Raw genomic sequence first — 24,080 nt, 5'->3', positions numbered from 1 at the left:
GTTCTAACAGGCGGTTAACACTTTATAAACAGTACCTGTTTTATTATCATTATTGTTATTATATATAGCCCATTGCTACTGCTCCCAGACAGTGGTGCCTTTTCAGGTGAATGGTGACTTTGTTTCTGATTTCTCATTTATCTAGAAGATAACAACAAAAAAGCTCTTTTAAAAAAATAACATGCATCCTGATATCCAATCTCAAAGCCATGGTCTGGGTAGAATAAACACTCTCTCAGTCCTCTTTTAGAGACAGCCTATCCTAACTTCTGTGCTGGGCAAGTCTGCCACAGTTCAGAGTGGCTGGCAGAGGGGCACCACTAGAGCCCTCATGCTGGGGCCACTCAGAGTTCCTAGAAGATTAAAGTTGAAGAGGCAGCAGAGAACCCAGACAAGCAAGTGTCCTCATCCACAGAACAGGCCTGCAAGCTAATCTTCCCCAAATACTATGTCCCGCATGGTCATCCTGCCCCCTCCATCCAGCACCCACAGTAACTCTCCTGCCTTAATTCCCTCTGCTGTGAGGTCCTCCATGATCTAACCAGACCTAACTAAACCAATGATGTTCCCACCACTCTCATATTCAATATCGTTTTTATCCCACAAATAAATTAGGGCCTGCCTCAAAGTTGGGGATCATCCTGTTATTCCTAAAACTTCTCCCCCAAAACCCACTCTATGACACCCCTGGGCTTATATAAGTTCCAGCTACCTTTCAAAGCCCTGTTCAAATCTCACCTCTTCTACAAAACTGCTCTTACATGATAGAAACCACAGTGGTATCTCCAGCCCAGAATGCCTATTTCAGGGATCACCCATATGAAAAGATGTGGCAGGTTTCAGCTTTCTGTGGGAGGAAATAAGCCCCCAAGACAAAGGACCAGGTTTCATACTTCTTTTGAATTCTCCTGTGTTTGGTGATCAGGAAATTGCACACTAGCCAAGTGTACTATGAACATAATTTGTGTTTTGTGACTACTCTTTTCCAACTGACCTGCGATATAAATATCTAAGGTGCTAGAATTGCTGGATGTCTTGAAGGTGACAAAAATCACATCTGAGATTGTATTGTATCATTTAAAATTACATGTTTAAAGGGGGAAAAGACTTTCTAATCATGTATAGCAGTGCTGTGGGGATCAGTATACAATTTTCCTTTTATTCCCCTCCTGATTATGAAACCAGCTGAGACACGGGACATACTGGAGTTAGATAAATAAAGACAAAAAATAATCAGTTTCATTTCTGATAAAGCAAGTTGGAGAACATGACTTTAGATCTATCATCTATCTTCTAGATCTATCCTGAGTGTATACCCCAGAATTTTGAACCATCCAGTCATAGGAACAACCACAGAAGCCCAGTCCTACCCTATTACAGGGCACTGTCCCAGAAGCTACAAGCAAAAGGGAGTAGAGAAGATACGTTCCTGGAGGGCCGGCCAGTTCTAAAGAGGAGGAAGAAGCTGAGAGGAGCACAGCCAGTTCTTCTAAATCCATCTATTACAGTTCAGGAGGAATGAGCAAAGGATGATGACAAAGGCCTAAAAAGTGTTTTCTGGAGGAAGTTCTTCCACCAAGAAATATAACAGAGAAAAGGAGGTTCCCCTCACTGACTAATGGTTCTAAACTATAGGAAGCATTATGCAAATATTAACTACTTAAGTGGTTAACATCTGAAAGAAGCTAAAAACTTAATAGATTTAATCTTTGCTGATACACAGAACTCACACAATGATTTGCTTATTTCACTGAGAATTGCTGTCCTCCATAGGGGATATTAGTTCACTTATACATCATCCACTCAACTTGACATGTATTGCCAAACAGCTATTCGTTGGAGTCTAGCCGGAGCACATATATACTAAGGAGGGCTTCATGCTTCAGCTGGAACTAAGCACTCATTCATTCAACATATATTAATTACTGTGTGCCAGACACAGAGCTTGGTGGTAGAGACATCATAATGTACACCCTAGATAGTCTCGTGGGCAACAATATCAAACAAGCACAAGGGGGCAGCAGGATCCCCACATTCAACCAGTTCTCAGAACAAGTGCCTTAACTGATGGATTGGCTCAGATGCTGTTAAACACCGATTATATTATGGAAACATATGTAGTGCAACGTCCTGGCCATTATAATGAGGAAAACATGAACACGACTTGAACCAGGACAAGGGATACCAAGGGATATCTTCATTAAAATACACTTTTAATAATAAATAATTCTAAGATGCTGTGGGTGCATTTCCAATTTGAGTATGGTGGGCAAAAACATCATTACCTACAAATCCTTCTTGGCTTTCACATTCTGCACTTCTCAATGCTTCCTTCTTTTGTATAAGCCTCGCACAGCTCTGGGACACTTTGCTGGGGAGAAGAGCCTTATAGTTCTAACGAGTGCCCAATAATGGGGATTTTACATTCTATACCATGGTGGTAAGAGTGACACAGCACACACTGTCGCTTGGGCTACAGTGAAATTCATTGAAAAGAGTAAAGCTGAGCTATAAGAAAGGGCGGGTGGGAGGGAGGAAAGGGAGGAGAAACGGAGCAGGAAGACAGCCTGGCTTGCAATGGGTTCTCAAGCACAATGCACTTCACACACAATGCATGAGGTCTTTTTTGTCAAAATCCCTTAGCTGCGCATTGTCCAGAGCCCGGGAGGCTGCAAAGGCATTCCAACCCCTGACGGCAATCCCGCAGGCTCTGCCCAGGTCAGCCAGGAGCAAGCAGCTTTGACACTCCCAACACACAGAGGGTGACAAGAAGGGCTCACAGCCTCTTCAGATGTATCCTTTGCTTCATGATCACTGTTTTATTATTTTTATTATTTTAATTCTTTCCCTTTTGAGCTTCTCTGCCTTCCCATGCAAAACTGGTTCAGAGATGCCACTTTTGGAGCTCATTATGTTGTCATGGCAACTAGAATTTTCAAAGTTTATTTCTCCTCCTCTTCTCTCCTCCATGAACTCTCCTTCCCCATCCCCTTCTCTTAACACATATACGTTTTGCATAAGAAACAAAACATGGAAGAAAATAAGACCTATAGCAGCACCATCAGGTAAATTTTTTCTCACACGCTATTTTCTCACACGCTCTTAGCACAGCATGTCCCTACTGGGTACGTGAAATTACCCCTGTTCCCACTGTCTCCAATTAATATTCTTAGACTCCCAGTCACCCATGATGTTTCGGAGCAAGGCCTTGGGTAGCAGCCATCAGCTGTGCCTCCTCCTCTTTTCCTCCTCCTCTCTTCCTGCAGAGAGAAGCAGATATATTCCTTCCTGCTTATATAAACCACGAACATGCTGTGTCTTATTTGTCATTTGTTAGTCCCTGAAAACAACAACAACTGTGGATGAGGGAAAGTGAAAACACCTCAGATGCACTTCACAGGGGATCTCTCTGGAGACTGGAGGAATTACAGTTGGCAAAACAAAAGGAAAGGAAATCCCCAAAGAAAATTTGCTAAATTGATTGTTTAATTATAACACTAACCTTTGCTATCAAAGACCAGGTGAGACAGAGAGGGAAAAGGAATCGAAACAGGAATGAGAGAGCCTGAACTTCCACACTGAACATAAGCCACCTAAGAAAGGCAGTCACCCTGCCACCTGGGGGACACTCATGCCCTGGCACGCTGAGCTGGCACCTGCAGGTGAAATGCTTGTTTGGTCCACAGAGCTGCTAGAGGGGTGGCACTCTGCAGACCTCTGCTCTCTCTGTGCTGGGGTGTAGAGAGAGACTTGAGAGAGATGGTCAGGTCAAGCCTGTGGCAGAGTCCCTCTGTCCCCCTGAGAGCCCACACCCCTGCTGCACTGCCCTCGCAGGAAGAGGTCAGATAACTGGCCCAGAAAACATGGGAATTCGCAGCTGAGGGGGCATGGAACATTCAGATGAGGCCTGGTCCATATTAGGGGGACTGTGTCCAGGGGCTCTAAGACAGAATGACCCTCTGGCTACTGAGATCCAGTATTTTTAATTTATGGGTCTACTGAATTTAAGATTAAACTCTGTGACATCAGACATGATCAATGAGTATTTTAATTGAGACTCTGCTTATTCTTTTTTTTTTTTTTTTTTTTTTTTTTGAGATGGAGTCTTGCTCTGTCACCCACACTGGAGTGCACAGTGGCGCGATCTCGGCTCACTGCAAGCTCCGCCTCCCAGGTTCACGCCATTCTGCTGCCTCAGCCTCCCCAGCAGCTGGGACTAGAGGCGCACGCTGCCATGCCTGGCTAATTTTTTTTTTTTTTTTTTTTGTATTTTTAGTAGAGACGGGGTTTTACCGTGTTAGCCAGGATGGTCTCGATCTCCTGACCTCGTGATCCGCCCGCCTTGGCCTCTCAAGGTGCTAGGATTATAGGCATGAGCCACCGCGCCCAGCCCTCTGCTTACTTATTCTATCATTTATCATTGGTAGCATAAGGAGAGCCCCAACTGCTTAGGTCATAAAAGCTCCAGACTCTTGTATTGCCTAAATTGGCCCTAACAGGATTAGCTGTGTGGCTGGGGAACTGAACAATAATAACGGGAACATGGTACTCTACACTGAGGAGCAGGGTGAAGGGCAGCAAGGCTGTGCAGGACAAATGCACGCTGGGAGCTGGGATAAAATAAAATGGTGGTTATATTGAGGAGAAAGAGGCAACGAACGAGAGCTGGCAGAGCGGGTGTTGGGGTGTGCACTGCTGGGTGGGGTTGGGAGGAGGAAACTGTGTTTCAGGAGAGGGGTGGGGTCATGTCGACTGTAATTTCCAGGACTCTAGCTGCCATGTGGGTTGGGACAGGAATGTCCTGCCCAGCCCATGGCTTCCATCCGCTGGCCCTATAAGGGATGTCCTCTTTCTGGGCAGTGGACCATCTGCTCTCCGGCTCACTCTAGTCCTGAATTCTGTTGTCACTCTGCTTCTTCTAACTCACTCACCTTGGAAAAGCTGTTCCTGGCACATAGTAGGTGCTCCACAAATGTTGAATGAATGATCTACTCCTTGAATGTGGAGCAAGAGCATATGCTCTGGATGCCACCCCATATCCCCTCGGGCCACCTCTGGGTTCTGCAGCTGCAGTGGACAGGACTTAAACACTCACACAGGTATGTGACAGTGCCCACTTTGAGTGCTTACATCTTCCTGCTTCTCCACCTACGGAATTTCTCCAGGCACTGTTAAGTCCACAAACAGGGCAGCCCCAAAGTGTCATCACTCAAGGATGGACAGGGATTGATGGATGGGGGAAAAATACACACACACACACACACACATACTCATATACATACATACATAAACATACAGATACATGTATCTATGTCCCAGTTTCCCAGTTGCTTGGTGGAGCAGGGCTGAGGTACGTTCTACATGGTTCCTTCTAGGGTTCCCAGTGGATTAAGCCTCAGCAGTTCATACTGACAACCCTCTCAATTAACACATAACTCTTTGGCTTTTTCCCCTTCTCTGCCTCAATTTTCTCACTTGCTCCCTTTTGCAGCCAATTCTTTTCTTGGGGTCGTCTTTCAGGGAACCCAGGCCAAAACCCCATACGTGAGCTAGTTAAGTCCAACAAATAACTCCTCCCTGACCGAAGGACAGGGAAGAGAAAAGGGGAACATTAAACTAAGGGACAGCAAAGGTGCATGATCTCAAATACAAATGCCACCAACTTCTCAAATTTTGCCAGGAGAAAACCTTGACCAGGTTTGAAAGACTATATGGATAAGAAATGCCTAGAAAGCAGGGAAAATGTTTGCATTGTCTGTGAACATGACCAGCACAGCGCAACCTTGCAATAGGTATCTGCTACTGTTTCTGAGGGTAGTGCAGAGGAAAGGGGGCCAGAAATGAATGACTGAAGGAAGACCTTCCTCTCTGGAGCCAGACAGTCTGGGATACAACTTGGCCTTGGCCTCGAGGTTCCCTCTGACCACTTTAGGTCCTTTCTTCCCTCCTATTCATAGGTGTTTACAGAGGGAATTTAGAAGGTGAAGATATCAATAAAAGCACAGTCTTGGTTTCCAGATCATTACCTTTGGAAGAAATATTAAGTTACTTAATCCACTAGGGCAACTTTCCCCACTAGTTAATGCAAAGACATCCTTTTTTTCAAAAGTTACTTTATTTTAGGTTTGGGGTACATGTACAGGTTAACTCATGTCACAGGCATTTGTTGTACAGATTATTTCATCACCCAGGTATTAAACTTAGTACCCAATAGTTATGTTTTTTGCTCCTCTCCCTCCTCCCACCCTCCACACTCAAGTAGACCCCACTGTCTGTTGTTCTCCTCTTTGTGCTCATGAATTCTCATCATTTAGCTCCCACTTATAACTGAGAACTTGAGGTATTTGGTTTTCTCTTCCTGCGTTAGTTTGCTAAGGATAACGGCCTCCAGCTTCATCCATGTTATTGTAAATGACATAATCTTGTTCTTTTTTATGGCTGCATAATATTCCATGAGTATATGTACCACATTTTCTTTATCCAATCTGTCACTGATGAGCATTTAAGTTGATTCCATGTCTTTGCTATTGTAAATAGTGCTGCGGTGAACATTCACATGCATGTGTCTTTACAGTAGAATGATTTATATTCCTCTAGGTATATACCCAGTAATGGGAATGCTGGGTCAAATGGTAGTTCTGCTTTTAGCTCACAAAGGCATCCTTTTTAACACCCCTGAGTGAAGAATGAAGCCTTCCACACAAGTTAATTATGCATTCAAGGTCCTATTGCTCCGGTTTTTGTTTGTTTGTTTGTTTGTTTAGCCCAGTTGGTTGGTAAATCACATCTTCAGAGTAACTGACACTGGCCACTAGAGAAACACAAGCATCATTTCTCCTGTAGGGAAATAGTGTGGGAGCCGTTATGTCAGGTGAGGGAAGCATATCCATAGAATCACACGGGGTCAGATCAATGCAGGCTGTAGAAGTCTGGCAGCAATTCTCTCAAGTCTGATTGTTTTTTCTTTCTAAGACAGGAATCAAAGTTGCTATCCAAAGCCTGCTCATTTTCTTCATAACATTTCCCATTATTTGTGTTATTTGCTTGCTTGTTTTCTGTCTCAGCCATGAGAAAAATAAAGTTCATAAGAGCAAGGGACTGCATCTTCTTGTTCACTATCAAACTCAGAGTGCCTGACATATTGGTGCTTAACAAATGTTTGGTGGCTGGACGCAGTAGATCACGCCTGTAATCCCAGCACTTTGGGAGGCCAAGGCAGGAAGATTGCTTGAGCTGAGGAGTTTGAGACCAGCCTGGGCAACAAAGTGAGATCCCACCTCTACAAAAAATTAGCCAGGTGTGGTGATATGCACCTGTAGTCCCAGCTACTGGGAAGGTTGAGGTGGGAGAATCCCTTAAACCTGGGAGGTCGAGGCTACAGTGAGCTATGACTGCACCGCTGCACTCCAGCATGGGTGACAGAGCAAGACCGTGTCTCAATAATAACAATAATAATAAATGAATAAATGTTTGTGATTAGATATTTTAGTAAGTGATCAAAGAAGTATTTCTCCCCCTTACCACCTTTTACTTTAAAAAATTAGTCTGTACCTTCCTCCTTCAGCTCTTGCTCACTAAGGTATTAATTGCTCATAATTAGATCATCCCTTCCTCATATTATATTTGGTCACTGGGTACCTTGATCTAAATAGAACATACAATGTGAAAACACAGGGACAAGAGGATGGAGGAGAAACTTCTCTGTGAACAGCACAAAAGGTAGTGGGGTGGGGGCATGGGGAAGGGAAGTCATGTCCTACTTTAATGCCATTTCAGTCAACTCTGCCGAGGGTGGGGAGGCCTCTTTTGGTCTGGTCAGCTTCAGCCTGAGGACGTGTCAGCTGCTAAAAAGATTAGCTATCAAGTTGAGTCTAATATAGGTAAGAATATGTGGCCCCTTTAACAGGTTTTGGGGCTCCTCCAGTTGCCCCAAATGCCCTCAAATGCCATTCATTTCCTGGGTTCTCTGTGGAACACGGCATCTCAGTGCTCTCTTGCATAGTAGAGTTAGCTTCTTCAACAGGAAAGAGTAATTTCAATATTTTGCTAAATGAAGAATATTTTGGGACACAACGATAATTAAGTGTTGAGAATGTAGTGATACACTTGACACCAAGGGGAAAATAACTTTTAATTCAACTACAACTCTAACAGCTTCTCAACTTAACAGCTAGAAATGCCAAGCACCCAGTATATAACCAAATTGTAAAGACTCTGATTATCAGCCGGGGAAATTGGGAGGTATTATTTCAGCCACCTCAGTGTATACGTGTCTGCAAGTGCACAGAAAACATGTCTAATTATAGGGCCTCGACTATGGACTATAACCTCAGAATGATGTGGGGCTCTAATGTTATTACAAATTTCCATGTGGCAAAGCCAATTATTATGAGGTTCTATAGACCAGAAAAAGAGACAAGTTTAAACAAAAACATATTTTTTTCTAATCTGGAAAAGCCCAAGATTTTGGTATCAAAGCTATAGTGAAGTGAATGTAGGAGATAAATTATCATGGGGAGAGGGAAAACCATTCAAAAGGCCTTCACAACAGCAACAATTACACTGGGATCATGTCCATCATGCTGATAACAAATATTCCCTCTTTCTCGATGTAATGGAGACGTTCTTGGAGTGGCACACTTCTTGGAGTCCTACTACAAGTGCCTTGTGCTCTGCTCTTCAGCTAATATTAAACTTGGGTTTCAGGGGAATTATGCACACTGAAAACAATGCTCAAAATCTCAGGAAAATTTCTGATGAATACAGACATCACAAACAGGAAGTTGGCCTTTGATTTGTTCACTTGAGGCCATTTACTGGGAGCTTACTGTGTGCTTGTTAATTATGCTTGCTAAATGCTGGGGAAAAGAAAGTGAACTCACCATGATGCCCTTCTTCGTAATCCTGTGAAAGGGACAAAGACCTCCACAAATAACTATAAAATAACGTAACGAGTGCTCTAATAGAGGAGTATATATAGTGCAATGGGAACCCAGATGAAGAAACTTGACCTGGAAGGATGAGTCAGAGTTCCCCAGTCAAATACAGCAGTGGGTGGAAGTGGCTGTGGGGGTTGGTTATTTCTAGCCAAAGAAGTGATTACCTGGGAAATCCGGGAACAGTGAGCCGTGTGGCCAGGCTAAGGCAGAGGAATCGTTGAATTGAGGCTAGAAAAGTAGGTTGCAGCAAAGCTTTGAGAGGTCTTGCAAAACAAAGAACATTAATTTGGACCTTTTCTTTAATGAATTGATGGTGAGTGAAGCTAGCAGTTGAGTTTTTGTGATTAATCTATTTGTTTTAAAGTCTTTAACTGCTAAAATTAAAAGTTATTAACTCTGTATTCAACTTTTCTACCCAACCAATGTTAGTTTTGTTGTTTATTTTTTTCCTGAGAACTTACTGGTCCATAATTTTAAAAACATGATTTAATAATTATTGGTCTACCTTATTATAATTTTTTTTGAGACAGGGTCTCACTTTGTTGCCCAGGCTGGAATGTAGTGGCACAAACACAGCTCACTGCAGCCTCGACCTCCTGGGTTCAAGTGATCCTCCTGCTTCAGCCTCCTGAATAGCTGGGACTACAGGCACATGCCACCACACCCAGCTAATTTTTTTTTTTAAAAGAGACTGAGTCTCGCGTTGTTGCCCAGGCTAGTCTCAAACTCCTGGGCTCAAGCAATCCTCCTGCCTCAACCTCTCAAAGTGCTGGGATTACAGGCATGAGTCACCATGCCCAGCCTGGGTCTACATTATTGTCTTATAACTTCGAGATAAATTTGTTAATTAATAAGATACTTATTAATGTTCATTGTATATTATTTAATTTTCTAAGCCCACAGGTAAGAATATGGAAAAACCAGAAGTCTCATGCATTGCTAGCAAGAATGTAAAATGGAACAGCCACTCTGGAAGACAGGTAGGCAGTTTCTTATAAAACTAAACATGCACTTACCATATGGCCCAGCGACTGCACTCTTGAGCATTTTTTCCCAGAGAAAGGAAAATTTATGTTCACACAAAAACCTGTACACAAATGTTCTTCATAGCAGCCTTACTTGTAGTAACCCAAACTGAAAAAAATTCACATGTCCTCCAAGGAGTGCATGGAAACAAACCGTGGTATATCCATACCATGGAATACTATTCAGAAATAAAAAGGAATGAACAACTGATACATGGAAAACCTGGATAGACTTCAAGGCAATTATGCTAAGTGAAGAAAGGTCAATTTCAAAAAGTTTTCTATCCTATGATTCCATTTATTTAACATTCTTGAAATGACAAAATTAGAAGAATGTGTTGGCAAGGGTAGAGGATAGTAGATGTGGCTATAAAGGGTAGCACAAGGGGTCTTATGGTGATAGGACAGTTCTGTATCTTGATTGTGGCAGTGGTTATGCAAATTTACACGTGATAAAATTACATGGAACTACACACACAAATGAGTGTATGTGAAACTGGTGAAATCTGAAGCTCTATGGATTGCACCAGTGTCAATTTTCTGGTTTTGGTATTGTGCTACAGTTATGCAAGATGTTACCACTGGGGGAAACTGGGAGAAGAATACATAGGACCTCCCTGTAATTTTTTACAACTTCCTGTTGATTCTATAATTATTTCAAAAAAAAAGTTAAAAAAAAAAAAGACAGACACGTCCTCCACATTGCCAGCTTCAACAGCTATTTTTTAGTCAACTGTGTATTGGATCTCTATGACTCATTCAGCACTTGGGGTCTTCTCATTCCTTTTTGAAACCCTGTACTTCTTCATCCTCTATGATGTGATGTTTCTGGTATGTCTTTTTGAAAATCTTAATATTCTCTTAAATGGTGTTTCTAGAAACCTCTATCTGTGGCTGTTTTTTCTTCTCTACCTCCCCTCCATGGATAACCTTATGTATTTGTACCATTTTCTCTATTGTGTTCTGATAGTGTATCATATCTTTCCTCCCTCTTTTCTTAAGACACAGATATTGGATGATCCTATCTACTTGTCCAGGCCTCTTGAACTTCAAACTTTCTAAGTCTAAAATTAAACAAACCTTTCTCTCAGAATAAGAGCTTTTTTCTTCTTCTATTATTCATGTCAGTAAATGGAACCAAAGTTCTCCAAAACATTTGCAACTGAATCTTGGGATCATATACTAGGTGATCTTCCCTACTGCTTACAGCCAGTCATTCATCATCTCCTGACTATTTTACCACTTAAAATCTTCAGCTGGTTTTCACCTTACATTTCAGCCATCAGTGCTTGAAATCCTCATTTTCTGTCTGGAACTAGAGCTTTATTACAATCTTATTACTTATCAATCATCTTTTTATCACCTTCCTGAATCCTCTATATAATCAATCTAAAATTTAAAACTAACTCATTTGTTTTTGGAAGTTATTAATAAATTATAGTGGTCAGTGTATTTTTATTTTTACAAATTCAAACATATCAATTATTTCCTTTATGGCTTATTGATTTGCATAATGCTTAGAAAGGTCTTCTCCCTTGAAGTTTTTAAATTGTCTGTGTTTTCTTTGAATCCTTTTATGATTTAATTTTTAAAATGCATGTACTAGCTCCACCTGCAATTTATTTTGATATAAGATATAAGATGGGGCTCCAACTCAATTTTTGTCCTGCCAAGTAACTAGCCAGTCACACAATTCACTGAATGATTTGTTTTCAATGATTTGAAATGACACTTTACACTTATATATACTGTAAATTCATATATATACACACACATACACAATATATGTCGTGTGTGTGTGTGTATATATATATATATTTGGTTCCTGTATTCCTATATTATATCACATCATTTCAATTATTGTAGCTTTAGAATATATTTTACTCCCTATATAAAAAGTTCCTGTTCCTCATTGTTCTTTAAGGAAATGTCTTGGCTACTCTTATACATTTACATTTTCAGATAAATTTTAATATAATTTAGTAAAAACATTGTTTACATTTATCAATATCACATTAAAGACTAAAGTGGAGAAAGCAGACATCTTTGTAATTTGAAGTATTCCTTTTCAAGAGCAGGGTTTGTCTTTTCATTTACCTAAATCAGAATATATGTCCTTAGACTCTCCCCATACTGGAAAGCAACTTTTATGAGGGCAGGGATTTTTGTTTTGTTCCCTGCTGTATTCCTAACATCTAGAATACTGCCTGGCACACAGAAGCTCAACATCTATTGAAAACTGGTTAAGTGAATACATAAGTGATTCTATCGTTTAGGCAATGGGATCCCATTATAAATAACTAAGGTATACAAATTCTATAATTAAATGTCTGGTTTGTAAAGACTGTTTTCTCATGAATAGCAGGCTGCATTACAGCAGGGAGAACATTTAAAAAGACAATTGCTATAGTCCAGGACATAGTTTTATGAAACTTAATCAGTAGGTCTTGATGAGCAATTAGGCCCAGAGAATAAGTGAGGAGAAGATACCAGGATTAACTCAGGTTTCTATCTTGGATAACAAATGTGATAAAAGAATCACAGAAAGAGTAAAAGAAAACCAGAGAATATAGAAAGAATAGAGAGTGTGTTTAGTGATGAGGAAAAGAAGTTAAAGAATGAATTCTGTTTGGGGCATCCTAAGCTTAAGACACCTAAGGGATATCTAAGTGAATATGTACACTTCGGAGCTTAGTAGCAGACTGGAACATTAAATCCAGGTCTGTCTCTTAGCAAAGCCATCTTTTTAAATTTTTTTCATTTGTTTTTATTTTTTAATTGGCACATTGTAATTGTACATATTTATGGGGTACAATCTGATGTTTCGATACATAAATATGTTGTTTAATGATTAAATCAGGGTATTTAGCATATCCATCACTTCATGCATGTATCATTTCTTTGTGGTGAGAACAATTAAAAGCCTCTCTTCAAGCTACTTTGTAATATATAATGCCTTACTGTTAACCATCATCACCTACTGTGCAATAGAACACCAGAACTTATTTCACCTATCTAAAAAGCCATCTTTTTAAACATTACTTCATGTTATATTTTACTAAGTAGAAGTTATCTCCTCCTCTAAAAAACAAATAAAACTAGATTTTAAAATGGAACATTCTTGAAATAAGTTTAAATGTAGTCACTCTGCAAGGCAAATTCAGAGAATGGCACAATCATCTACTGGGTTCCTTAAGTACTAAATGAAGGGACAAATCCTGGAGTATATGAATTGCAGTTTGCACATGAATAGAAAACATCATATACATGTGTGAAAATGTGTGTGTATGTATGCATATATGGGTGTATATATACACAGATATGTACATATGTATAGATGTATATGTGTGTGTGTGTGTGTGTGTGTGTATAGGTATATAGGTATACAGGTATCAGAGTGTTAGAAGATTTACCTATACTAAGTTAGAGCATGGCTGAGGAGCTACAAGGATGTTTCAGTTACCTAAGAACTTGGTCAACCAGAAATTTCATGTGTGAAAACTTGAACAGAGAATGGAGGCATTTTTATATTTGGTTATTGTCTTCATATCCAAAAAGGCACCTAATGAAGTCCCAATCTAATTGTCAACAGTTCGCTTTAAAAAGGATAAATGCTTGTAAAACAGTACCTTGTTTTGATTATTTATGTTGATAGTTCTACTTACTGATTTCTCTATTCCTTTTCCCTCAACACCTTCACCCTGCCTCTCACATGCAACCTTTCTGGATAGGATTCTTGGCTTCTCCCAGCTATGACTTCACCTCTCCACCCCCGCCATACCTCTGCAGCCAAGGATGCTCTCACCTTGGCTGAGCCCCCAGAACCACCTATCCTGACACTGCCTCTGCTTCTCAAGGTAGATAACAGCAAGAGACACTAGAGATTAATTTTTGAAAGGAGACAGAATTTTAATTAATACAAGAAAATCAGAGCCTTTTTCCCCCCAAAAGCAGCTGCATTACATTTCACATTCACATTTCACAGCCCATAGCGTTATCAATACAGGGCAATTTCAGGGTGTTGGTGCTGATTGTACTTCTTCCTAATAATAAAGTCCTAAAATGGGGGTAATATTACATAAAATATAGATTACATGTGCAACAGAAAAATATAAGCTCCATGGAGGCAGGGATTTTTGAATCCCCAGCATCTAGAGAACAGTGTTTGGCACTATCTGTTGAATTAATCAACTCAAAAGAGCACTTTGTTGTTGTGCTGGGGCATGTGTGTAAATCACATCTCTGTTGTGAGTAGAAGCTGAGCAGCAAAGGTCCCATTGCAAATGCCCACTCCATAGGGGAAGCACTCCTTTGTGGAACAAGAGCACTGGACTGGGAGTCCTAAAATCACACTTACATTTGTCATTTAGGGCATGTCACTTGCCCACTTCGAGCTGCAATCTCCTTGTTTGTAAAATACTAATATACTTCTTAGGATTATTGTGGGAATCAAACACATGAAATGCTTTATAAACCAAATGCTCTAAAATAAAAAAGAATAACTGTTTTGTCTTTTTCTGCTTCCAACAGCCTTATTTGCCCACAATTGCCTATAGGATAACAGCTTTAACAATCCTTTAGAAGTGATTATTCTGAAAACATGCACCACATATGATATAAAAGGTTAATATCCTTACTATGCAAATAATCTAAGTTCATATGAAAAAGATAAATATGCCAATTTATGGGAAAATGGGCAAATGGTATAAGGAATTAACTCAAAGAAAAAAATATTAGCAATGGCCAAGTGTAAAAATGTCCAACCTATCATAATTACTTGTCTGTAATGCTTGTAAGCTGGGATCAACATTCCAGAAAGCAAACAGCTTCTCTGCAGGTTTTTCGAGGATCTCCAGTACCAGTGATTATGCTCCTGACTTTTAAGATGCCAGCCTCTTCCTCAGTTCTCTGCAATACTATCCTCCAGGAGGTCATAGGGGGGCATGGCATTCCCTAAGAGGGTCCTGATGTTACTCGGTTTCCCTTCAATTCATCAATCATTTCTTGAACACAAAAACAAGGCACTAAGATATCAGGAGCGATCCAAATACATGGAAAGACATCCTCAGCAGAAGAAACAAAACTTAATGGGTGACAGAGACATCTGTGACTCCAAAGCACAGGAAGATAGTGCATCCAGGAGAAGGGAGGAGAGCTCTGCCTCTCATTAGACTGTGCACCCTTAGGCAAGACTCTTAGCCACTCTCAGTCTCCATTTCCTCAATTATAAAATGGGGTTAACAGCAGTACCTGCCTCATAAGGCTGTTACAAAAATTAATTGAAATAATGTATATAAAGCATTTACCATGGTATCGGGCAGATGACAAGGTTTCAATAAATATTACATCTTATCTTTAGTAGTATTAAATTATATAACAATTCCATGATATTACTATGAGTGACAGATTCTATAACAAACAGGCATATAGTGCTATGGGAACATGTGGGAGAAAGATTTTAATACTAATTGTAAAATGAGATTGGGGGGTATAGACCTGGAAAGATCTTGTGAAAGAAGCCAAAGTTAAAACAAGCTGAGAGGGATGAGCAGGAATTTAACAAAGAAAATTAGAGGCTTACTCCAGACCACATGAGCAGAGAATAGAAAGGCCCAGGTACTCCAAGGAACTTCAAATGGTGGAGTGTCTAAGCTGATGGCCTCATGTGGGGCCCAAGGGCACAGTCTGTCTTTGCTGTTCCCTGTAGGGTGCCATGGATGGTCAGCTCTACCAGTGGTATCTGAAAACATCTGAGCTCATGCTAATTGACTCAATGGGAGTACTTGGTAGGTAAGAATGGCTCTTTCCCAGCCCCACCTACTGAGTGTAAACCAGGCTCTTGAGAAAGAAATCTGCTACTAACAGCTAACATTTATTAAGTAATTACTATCACCCAGGTATTAAACACTTAACATGTATTATCTGATTTCATTTCCCCGGTAATCTTATATGACAAACACCAATATCCTTATTCACAATTGGGTAACTGAAGGTATAGAAAAGTGAAATAATTTACCTAACATCATTGTCATAGCTGGCAAGTGATAGGAACAGAACTCAAACCCAGCTAGACTGTCTAGAGTCTGTATTTTACTACTAGGCTATACATAGGGCATGGAGGAAAAAGCACCCCAGACAGGGAGCCAGGGCAGCTAGCTTCTAGCCAAGGTCTAACACTAAATAGCTGTCTACAAACTGAGCAAGTCATTTCACTCTCCAGCCGAGTTTCCTCCACTGTAACAAGGAGGCAGGCACAAACGACACTTAGAGTCTTGTCTTCCTCAAATAATTTTTATCTCACCCTAAGATACAATTTTCACAACTGATACACTAAGCAGTGTCTTGGGGAAATGCAGATTCTCTCAGCAAGCTCCCATAAGCTTTTTATGTGACCCCCATGGTCACACAACTCACCCAGGAAAAGTCCTTCTCATCAGTGTAGGAATTATGAACACCCCACTCTGGTCATCATAGCAGGGTATCATACAGGAAATTTCTGTCCACAGGACTGGGAAGTTACATGTGCCATGGCCGTCATGGAGGACCTGTTCATTTTCATCAAGTTCTGCTGTACTAGATGACAGATAATTTCCTTCCATAAAGGACATTTAAACTATCTGGAGGATCTGCTTAAAAGCATAGGTGTTTGTGCCTAGTAGATCTCAGTCCAAATTCTGAATCTACTGCTCATGAGCTTTGTTTACTTTGGCAAATTACCAAGCATCCCACAGTATCTCTATTTATAAAAGGAAGTTAGTACTTCCTCATATGGTCACTGTGAGGATTAAATGAGACAATATGTGTCATGTGATTGGCACAATGCTTGATGGGTAGCACAGTCTCAAAAAATTATAGCTTACAAGAAAAACAACTTAAAACAAACCCTACTCTACTCCTGTGAACTGGCCAAAAGTCATGAAGTGTGTTACGCTTTCTCATACTCAACAGGTCCAAAACCTGCCCTCTTTCCCTTAAGACCTACCCTTTGGCCTGTGTTCTCCCCCAGCCACCTACAGTCTCAATTCAGAAACCTAAAAGCAATCCAGAAGACTTCCCTCTGATTTCCACACCAAACCCACTCAGACATACCCACACAGTCCCGAGTCCTGCAGATCCGACACCTGGCCCCCAACACCTCCTGGAGCTGTCCTGTCCTTTCCGTCCCCACCGCTGTACTTCAGCCCCGCTGCTTCTCTGCTTCTCCCCTGAACTGCTGCTCCTCTCTGTTTGCTTCCAGTCTTGCTTCTCTATGTACCTTCTCCAGGGTGATCATCTTCAAATGCAAATCTAGCCATCTCCTTATCTAACAATCTAAAACCTCCCACAAGCTTCTGGAATCAAGCTTAAACTTACCAGCTTAGCCCAAGAAGCCCTTCTCGATGAGCCTCTGCCTGTGCCTCTGTGCTAGAATGTGCTTCTCCCTTGTGCTCGCAAACTATCGCTGGCTCTTCAAAGGCACACACCACTGTCACCTGCCTCAGTTGGCCTTACCTGATCCTTGCCCCTTCTAATTTAAATGCTCCCCTGTTGCTATCTCTTCCTAGACTCAAACCCGTTGAGGGGTAGCAGCTCTCTGTCCTTGTTTGACCTGGTATCCCTAGCCCCTAGCAGTGAGTCACATACAACAAGTACTTAGTAACTCTTGCGTGAGTCAGTCATTGACTTTCTACTGGTTGATTCCAGTGTTAGAATCCCAGCAGAATTACTCTCCCTTATGTTAGCCAGTCACCTTCAATGTCAGCCAGCCTTGGGAGGAGCAGATATACGTCAAACTAATACCCACCAACTCCCCTCAGAGATCTCATCTGGAACACTGAGCTGGGCATGAATAATTTCCTTCTTAAGACCAGCAGCCATTCCTGTCTCAGGTCAGGCATGGGAAACACTCAGGAACCACCTCCTAAGATGCAATGGCACACCCAACAGGAGATGCAAGGTTTAACACTGAAGTTATAGTTGTTAATATGCCCATTGTGGCCAAGACCTAGGTCTTATTCATCTTTTTATCCTCAACAATGCCTTGCAAGATAGTAGGAACCCAACATTAGTGACCTGCATATATGAATCTCAAAAAAAAATTAGCTTTGGGGAGGGACTAGCCTTCTGGACTATTTGAACTTAGAGTCCCATTACATGTATTTTTGAAATATTTCCATAATTAGTCTACAATCTCCTCATTTTACCCATCTTTGTATTCTAAATGTCTAGCCAGGTATCTTTTGCATAGCAGACACTCAATAAACACTTGCTGAATTGCACAGAATCAGCTTGCACATGAGTTGCTAGCAAGGCAGACAGCTGTAGTTTGGCTTGTCGTGGGAGCCACTCTATGCATTCATGAGATGCAACCAGAAGAATTCCTCCTCTACTATGGACACTTCACTACTTCCCATTAGTCTTAGGGCAGCAGGACCTTGACAGTGGGTCTTGGCATCTTCTGCCCTGTACACATACCGGGTCACATTGTATACGTGAACATCAGTGTGTGTGAATTAGTGTGTACATCAATGCACATACACATTAAAACTTGCACCAAATCTATATGGTCAAGATGATATTCCAGGCTTACCACTGGCGGCATATCTCTGGGTATGCCACCTCAGGTGTCAGTATCCCTGAATAGAAGCTACGTAGTGTACACTAAAATAAGCACTAACTAGAAGTTGAGAAATTGTAACCTCTGGCCCCACCTCTGCCAGTAACTAGTTGGAGATTAACTAAACCTCCCTCTTCTCATTTCCAAATAAAGATACTGTCCACATACTGCATGGAGTCATTGCAAAGAACAAATATGATCACAAAAGCAAAGGTGCTTTGAAAACTATGGCATGCTTTACACAAGAGAGCTCACATTGCTCCCCACACGTATATGGAAGCAGTCTCTGGTCTGACTGTCCCTGCTCTGGTTTTGAGACAGCTCAACTGCTTCCCCATATTTACCTTTCCCTGTCCAGAAGCCCAGGCAACAATGGATGGAGACAGTGGGATGGCTCATGGTCATTTCTGTTTGTGTTAGCCGCTGCCCTGTAGCCCCTGATGGCATTTCAGGATGTGCTTATGCAGCCCTGCTTTGTTTCCATGGAGACAGGAAGCTCTGCTTCTCTTCATGCCTAAGCTAATGGTTTTCATCAAATCCCATTTCCTTTGAGACAAGTAAAAATGCTACAATGCTTCCATCCATACTTCCTCTTTAAATCTGAGCCGACAAACATGCCTCACAGCCTTCCTCCCACCAATGCCTGTGCCCCAGAGGCAGGTGCCTCAGTCATTTCCACACTTGGCATCCAGGGGTCCCTGAGCACCAGTGGATGTGGCCTGCCCCCTCTCACATGGACTCTCTCCCTCACTTGCCCAACCTAGGAGCCATGTGTGTTCCCCCTTTAATTTCTGTCTCTCTCTGCTCTGGGAACAGCCTTGGTACATAACATTCAGCTGCCTGCAGGTCACAAGAAACCTGCTCCCTAGGTTTCCAAGCTATTTCCCAGGCTGCTTCTGAATTAAATCCCAACTAAACCCCCACTCTAAGGAGAAAGCTCACAATCTTTCCAAAGGCATGTGAGAGACAACCAAGCAGAAGAGAGAACCCACGGCCCCTCCTGTACACAGGACTGGCTGCTGCTGAACCCCCTGCAGACACCAATAAAGCCCACCCCAAACTGTGCTGAGCTTCAGAATGAGAAAAAGAAACCAGGTCAGAATGATTTCAGTCCCAGCCTATAAGGCCCCTATTGTGAACACTCCTTAAAATGTCAAAATTTATTCATATCAGCTGTTCCCAGCTGCCACTGTCACTTCCTAGGCTTCTCCAGAAGTGCTAAGAAGGCATCTGCCATCCCAGTTCCATGACATCTAATCTGTGCAGACCATCTCCCAGAGGAGCCCATGGCCCGACAGCTGGATCAATCGAACATCCACAGGCCGTTAAGCAGGTGATGCCACCTGGACCTAAGAGGCTGAGAAAATGTATGTTAATATTATCGAAGGATATAGGCAGCTAATAAGAGCTAAGGGCTACTCCATGCCAGACCCTGGGCTAGGGTTTTGTATATGAGAGAGCTATTGCTATCCCATTTTACAGAGGAGGAAGCAGGCTCAGAGTAACTTATCCAAATTCGCAATGCTAATAAGTGGTTTCTTACAGGGTTAGGCTTCTCACCCATGAATGTCAGATGCTAAAGCCCATGCCTCTTCCAATGTACAACTGTTTCCCATGCAGAGAAAGACGTAAGAGAATGAAAAGATGTGATTCCAAACCAGAGAGAGTCCATGTGGTCAGACACAAGGCACTGTCCAGTATGGTAGTGTTCTGTTCCATTTCCAGCTCTGTTAAGACACAACTCAAACCTATGCTGGAGCCTCATCCAGAACACCAGTGGCTTTTGTTGGCACCACATCTACTTTTCTCCCCAAATATATAGTAAGAATCTGTCTTAAATTTTCCAAACTAAAATATATACACACTTAGGACAAAGAATATCAGATAAGATTACACAAACATGACATTATCCTCTCAGTAGAAATACAAGAGGAGAGCCTGTGGTCAGGCTTCTCTGGGGGCCAGAGTTATGGAAGGTGCACATTGGAGTTGTAGGTACTGGCTGGCTGGAGACAGTAACGTCTAGCAGTGCTTGGGCACGAACAAAGAATGCCAACAAACACTCACTGAATGAGTAAATATAGAAGAAATCTCTTATGTCTTAAGACTCTCCACTCAAAATAAACATTATTAAAGTTCTTCTTTACGATGTCTTCAGTTTTTCACAAATTACCACCACAGGCTCTTAGTACCACGTCGTTGGATTACTATGGTTGTTTCCTGCTTAATCCTACTGAATCTGGTCTCTCTCCATGCCAATCCTTCCCCCACGGATGTTAGATGAATATTCTTATATACGCCTTTCGTCCTACACTTTTGTGTGTGTGCAATATTTTTACTTTAAAATTTAATTTCTATTTTTTCAAAGTAACACATGTAGAATTTAAAAAGTCAAATAATTTTGAAAGACTTCTAATGAAAAACTGGCAGCCCTCTGCTTTACCTCTCCTAACCCCTGAATTTCACTCCCCAGAGGCAACCACTTTCAACTCTTTTACCTGTTTCTTCTGGTATTCATTTCCAAATTTCTAAATATTATACTTAAAAACTGAAATGTCTTTATCTTTCCATTTTAGATATTGCCTAAATACTTCCTTACTGTGGAACCTAAGATTTCAGTCTTTGACTGAAATCTCCCCCTCCCTTTCCCCTCCTCATATTCAGCCTCCTCCATCCACTTAAGGTAATCACAGCACTGTAAGGGGCTATATCAAAATTCGGCATCAGCAACATAAATTTGGTTGACAACTGAGCTGAATAGAGGACCTACTTACTATGCTTATATTTCTTACTGGTAACAATTTCATATTTCATGGAATTAAATGCTTAGAGTGTTTTTTTGTGTATGTGTGTATATACAAATACATACATATATTCATACAGTCATGTATGGCTTAACAAAAGGGGTACATTCTGAGAAATGCATTGCTAGGCAATGTTGTTGTTGTGTGAACACCAGAATGTGTACTTACACAGACCTAGATGGTATAGCCTACTACATACCTAGGCTATATGCTGTAACCTATTGCTCCTAGGCTGTAAACCTATACAGCATGTTACTATACTAAATACTGTAGGAAATTATAACACATCATTAAGTATTTGTACATCTAAATATATCTAAACATAGAAAAGGGATAGTAAAAATATGGTATAAAAGATTTTAAAAAATGGTACACCGTAGAGCACTTACCATGAATGGAGCTTGCAGGAAGTTGCTCTGGGTGAGTCAGAAAGTGAGTGGTGAGTGAATGTGAAGGCCTAGGACATTACTGTATGGCACTGTAGACTTTATCAACACTGGACACTTAAGCTACACTGAATTTATTAAAAACATTTTTATTTCAATAAATTAATCTTCACGTACTGTAACTTTACCTTATAAACTTAGAAAAAATTTAACTTAGACTCTTTGGCAATAATGCTTAGCTTAAAACACACATTGTACAGCTGTACAAATATATTTTCTTTCCTTACATCCTTATTCTATAAGCTTTTTTTATTCTTACTTTTTACTTTTTTACTTTTTAAAATCTTTTGTTAAAAGCGAAGACACAAACACACACACTAGCCTAGGCCTGCACAGGGTCAGAACCATCAATATCACTGTCTTCCACCTCCATATCTTGTCCCACTGGAAGGTCTTCAGGAGCAATAACACACAGGGAGCTGTCATCTCCTATGATGACAATGCCTTCCTCTGGAATACCTCCTGAGGAACCTGCCTCAGACTGTTTTACAGATAACTTTTTTAAAAATAAGTAGGAATAAATTGTAAAATAACAATTGAAAGTAAATGCCAAATCAGTAACATAGTCATTTACTGTCGAATACTATATACTGTACATAATTGTATATGTTCTACTGTTATATGATGGACAATTCAGGGTTTTTTTACACCAGCGTCACCACAACCATGTGAGTAATGCATTGCACTATGATGTTAAGATGACTATGACATCACTAAGCCACAGGAATTTTTCAGCTCCACTAAATCCTGTGGGACCACTGTTGCATATACATCAGTCATTGACTGAAATGTCATTATGTGGCACATGACTGTATATAGTTTTGGCAAAACCATGAGCTCTTTTGAAAATAATAACACACATTGGGGAATACATTAGTTTTATTTTTTCTTACAGATAGCATTTTTAGAGGCCTCTGTCACCCTACTCAAATCTTGATACTGCTTGATACTCTCTAGGCTTCTGTCATCCTAGACTTCCGTTCATCGCCCTGGGAATCAATTCCTCTTCTTTCTCTCCTCCATCGAATCCCTTGTTTCCATGAGTATCACATTCTTCTCTTTCTTCAATTACTTCCTTATTTTTAGTGACTCACATTCACCAGTAACTTTTTCAAAATGGATATCAAAAATATTGTGATCCCATCCTAAAAAACAATTGGTATTCGAGCTAGGTATAGAATTCTATCTTGAAAATTATTTTCCTTATGAAAGTTTTAAGAACTTATCTATTTGTTACTAACTTTCAGTGTTGCCATTGAGAAGCCCAAAGCTATCCTGATTCCTATTTCTTTGTAGATAAATTCTATCTCCTTCCTAATTACCAGGCACTTTCAGAATATTTTTTAATCTGATATTCTGAAATTTCATGATGATTCACCTTGGGGTTCTCACTTTCCATTAGTCATGCTGAGTTTTCAGTGTGTATTTCATTATTAATTAAACTCATTTGTTCTCTTTTACCTCCATACCTACCTTATATCACCCTGCTATAAAAATTATCATTAAAGTAAAATAAAAATTTAAAAAAATTATAATACATTCAAAATGTGCCTTTGATTTGAATGTATTTTCACAAACTGTATATTTTGTGTGCATGTAGTTTTATGTAAATGGTATCATATCACAGTGATTCTTGTTTTCACTAAAATCTATGTTCTTAAGATATCTTATGTTTCTTTTTTTTTTTTTTTTTTTTTGAGATGGAGTCTCGCTGTCGCCCAGGCTGGAGTGCAGTGGCGTGATCTTGGCTCACTGCAGGCTCCGCCCCCTGGGGTTCACGCCATTCTCCTGCCTCAGCCTCTCGCGTAGCTGGGACTACAGGCGCCCGCCACCTCGCCCGGCTAATTTTTTGTATTTTTAGTAGAGACAGGGTTTCACTGTGTTAGCCAGGATGGTCTCGATCTCCTGACCTCGTGATCTGCCCGCCTCGGCCTCCCAAAGTGCTGGGATTACAGGCGTGAGCCAGCGCGCCCCGCCCAAGATATCTTATGTTTCATGTGTACACAGTATTTGTTGCTCTGTGCTACATAGGATGCCACAGTACATACTGCTACATACTGTGCCATGGTATACATCCAATATTTTACCTATATAATCTCCCAGTTATGGACATCCACGTTGCCTCCAACTCCCCACTACCATGAAATAATGCTGGAAAGAACATCCTTGCATCTGCCTCAACACATCTTTTAATCTGGCAATGTGAGTCTTTTGGCTCTGGGAACATTTCTTAGATTTTTGTTAATTTCTTCCTTTCCATGTCTCTGTTC

At 40.9% G+C, this 24,080-nt stretch overlaps 1 protein-coding gene across 14 annotated transcripts in view; it reads right to left on the bottom strand.

Moving 5' to 3' along the window:
• Positions 1 to 24,080, bottom strand: part of CACNA1E (calcium voltage-gated channel subunit alpha1 E) — a 490,386-nt gene that overhangs the window by 129,595 nt on the left and 336,711 nt on the right. The gene's annotated exons all lie outside the window — the stretch shown is intronic.

Source organism: Homo sapiens, chromosome 1 (assembly GCF_000001405.40).
Source record: "Homo sapiens chromosome 1, GRCh38.p14 Primary Assembly".
Lineage (NCBI taxonomy): Eukaryota > Metazoa > Chordata > Mammalia > Primates > Hominidae > Homo > Homo sapiens.
This window is presented reverse-complemented; position numbering and strand designations above follow the sequence as displayed.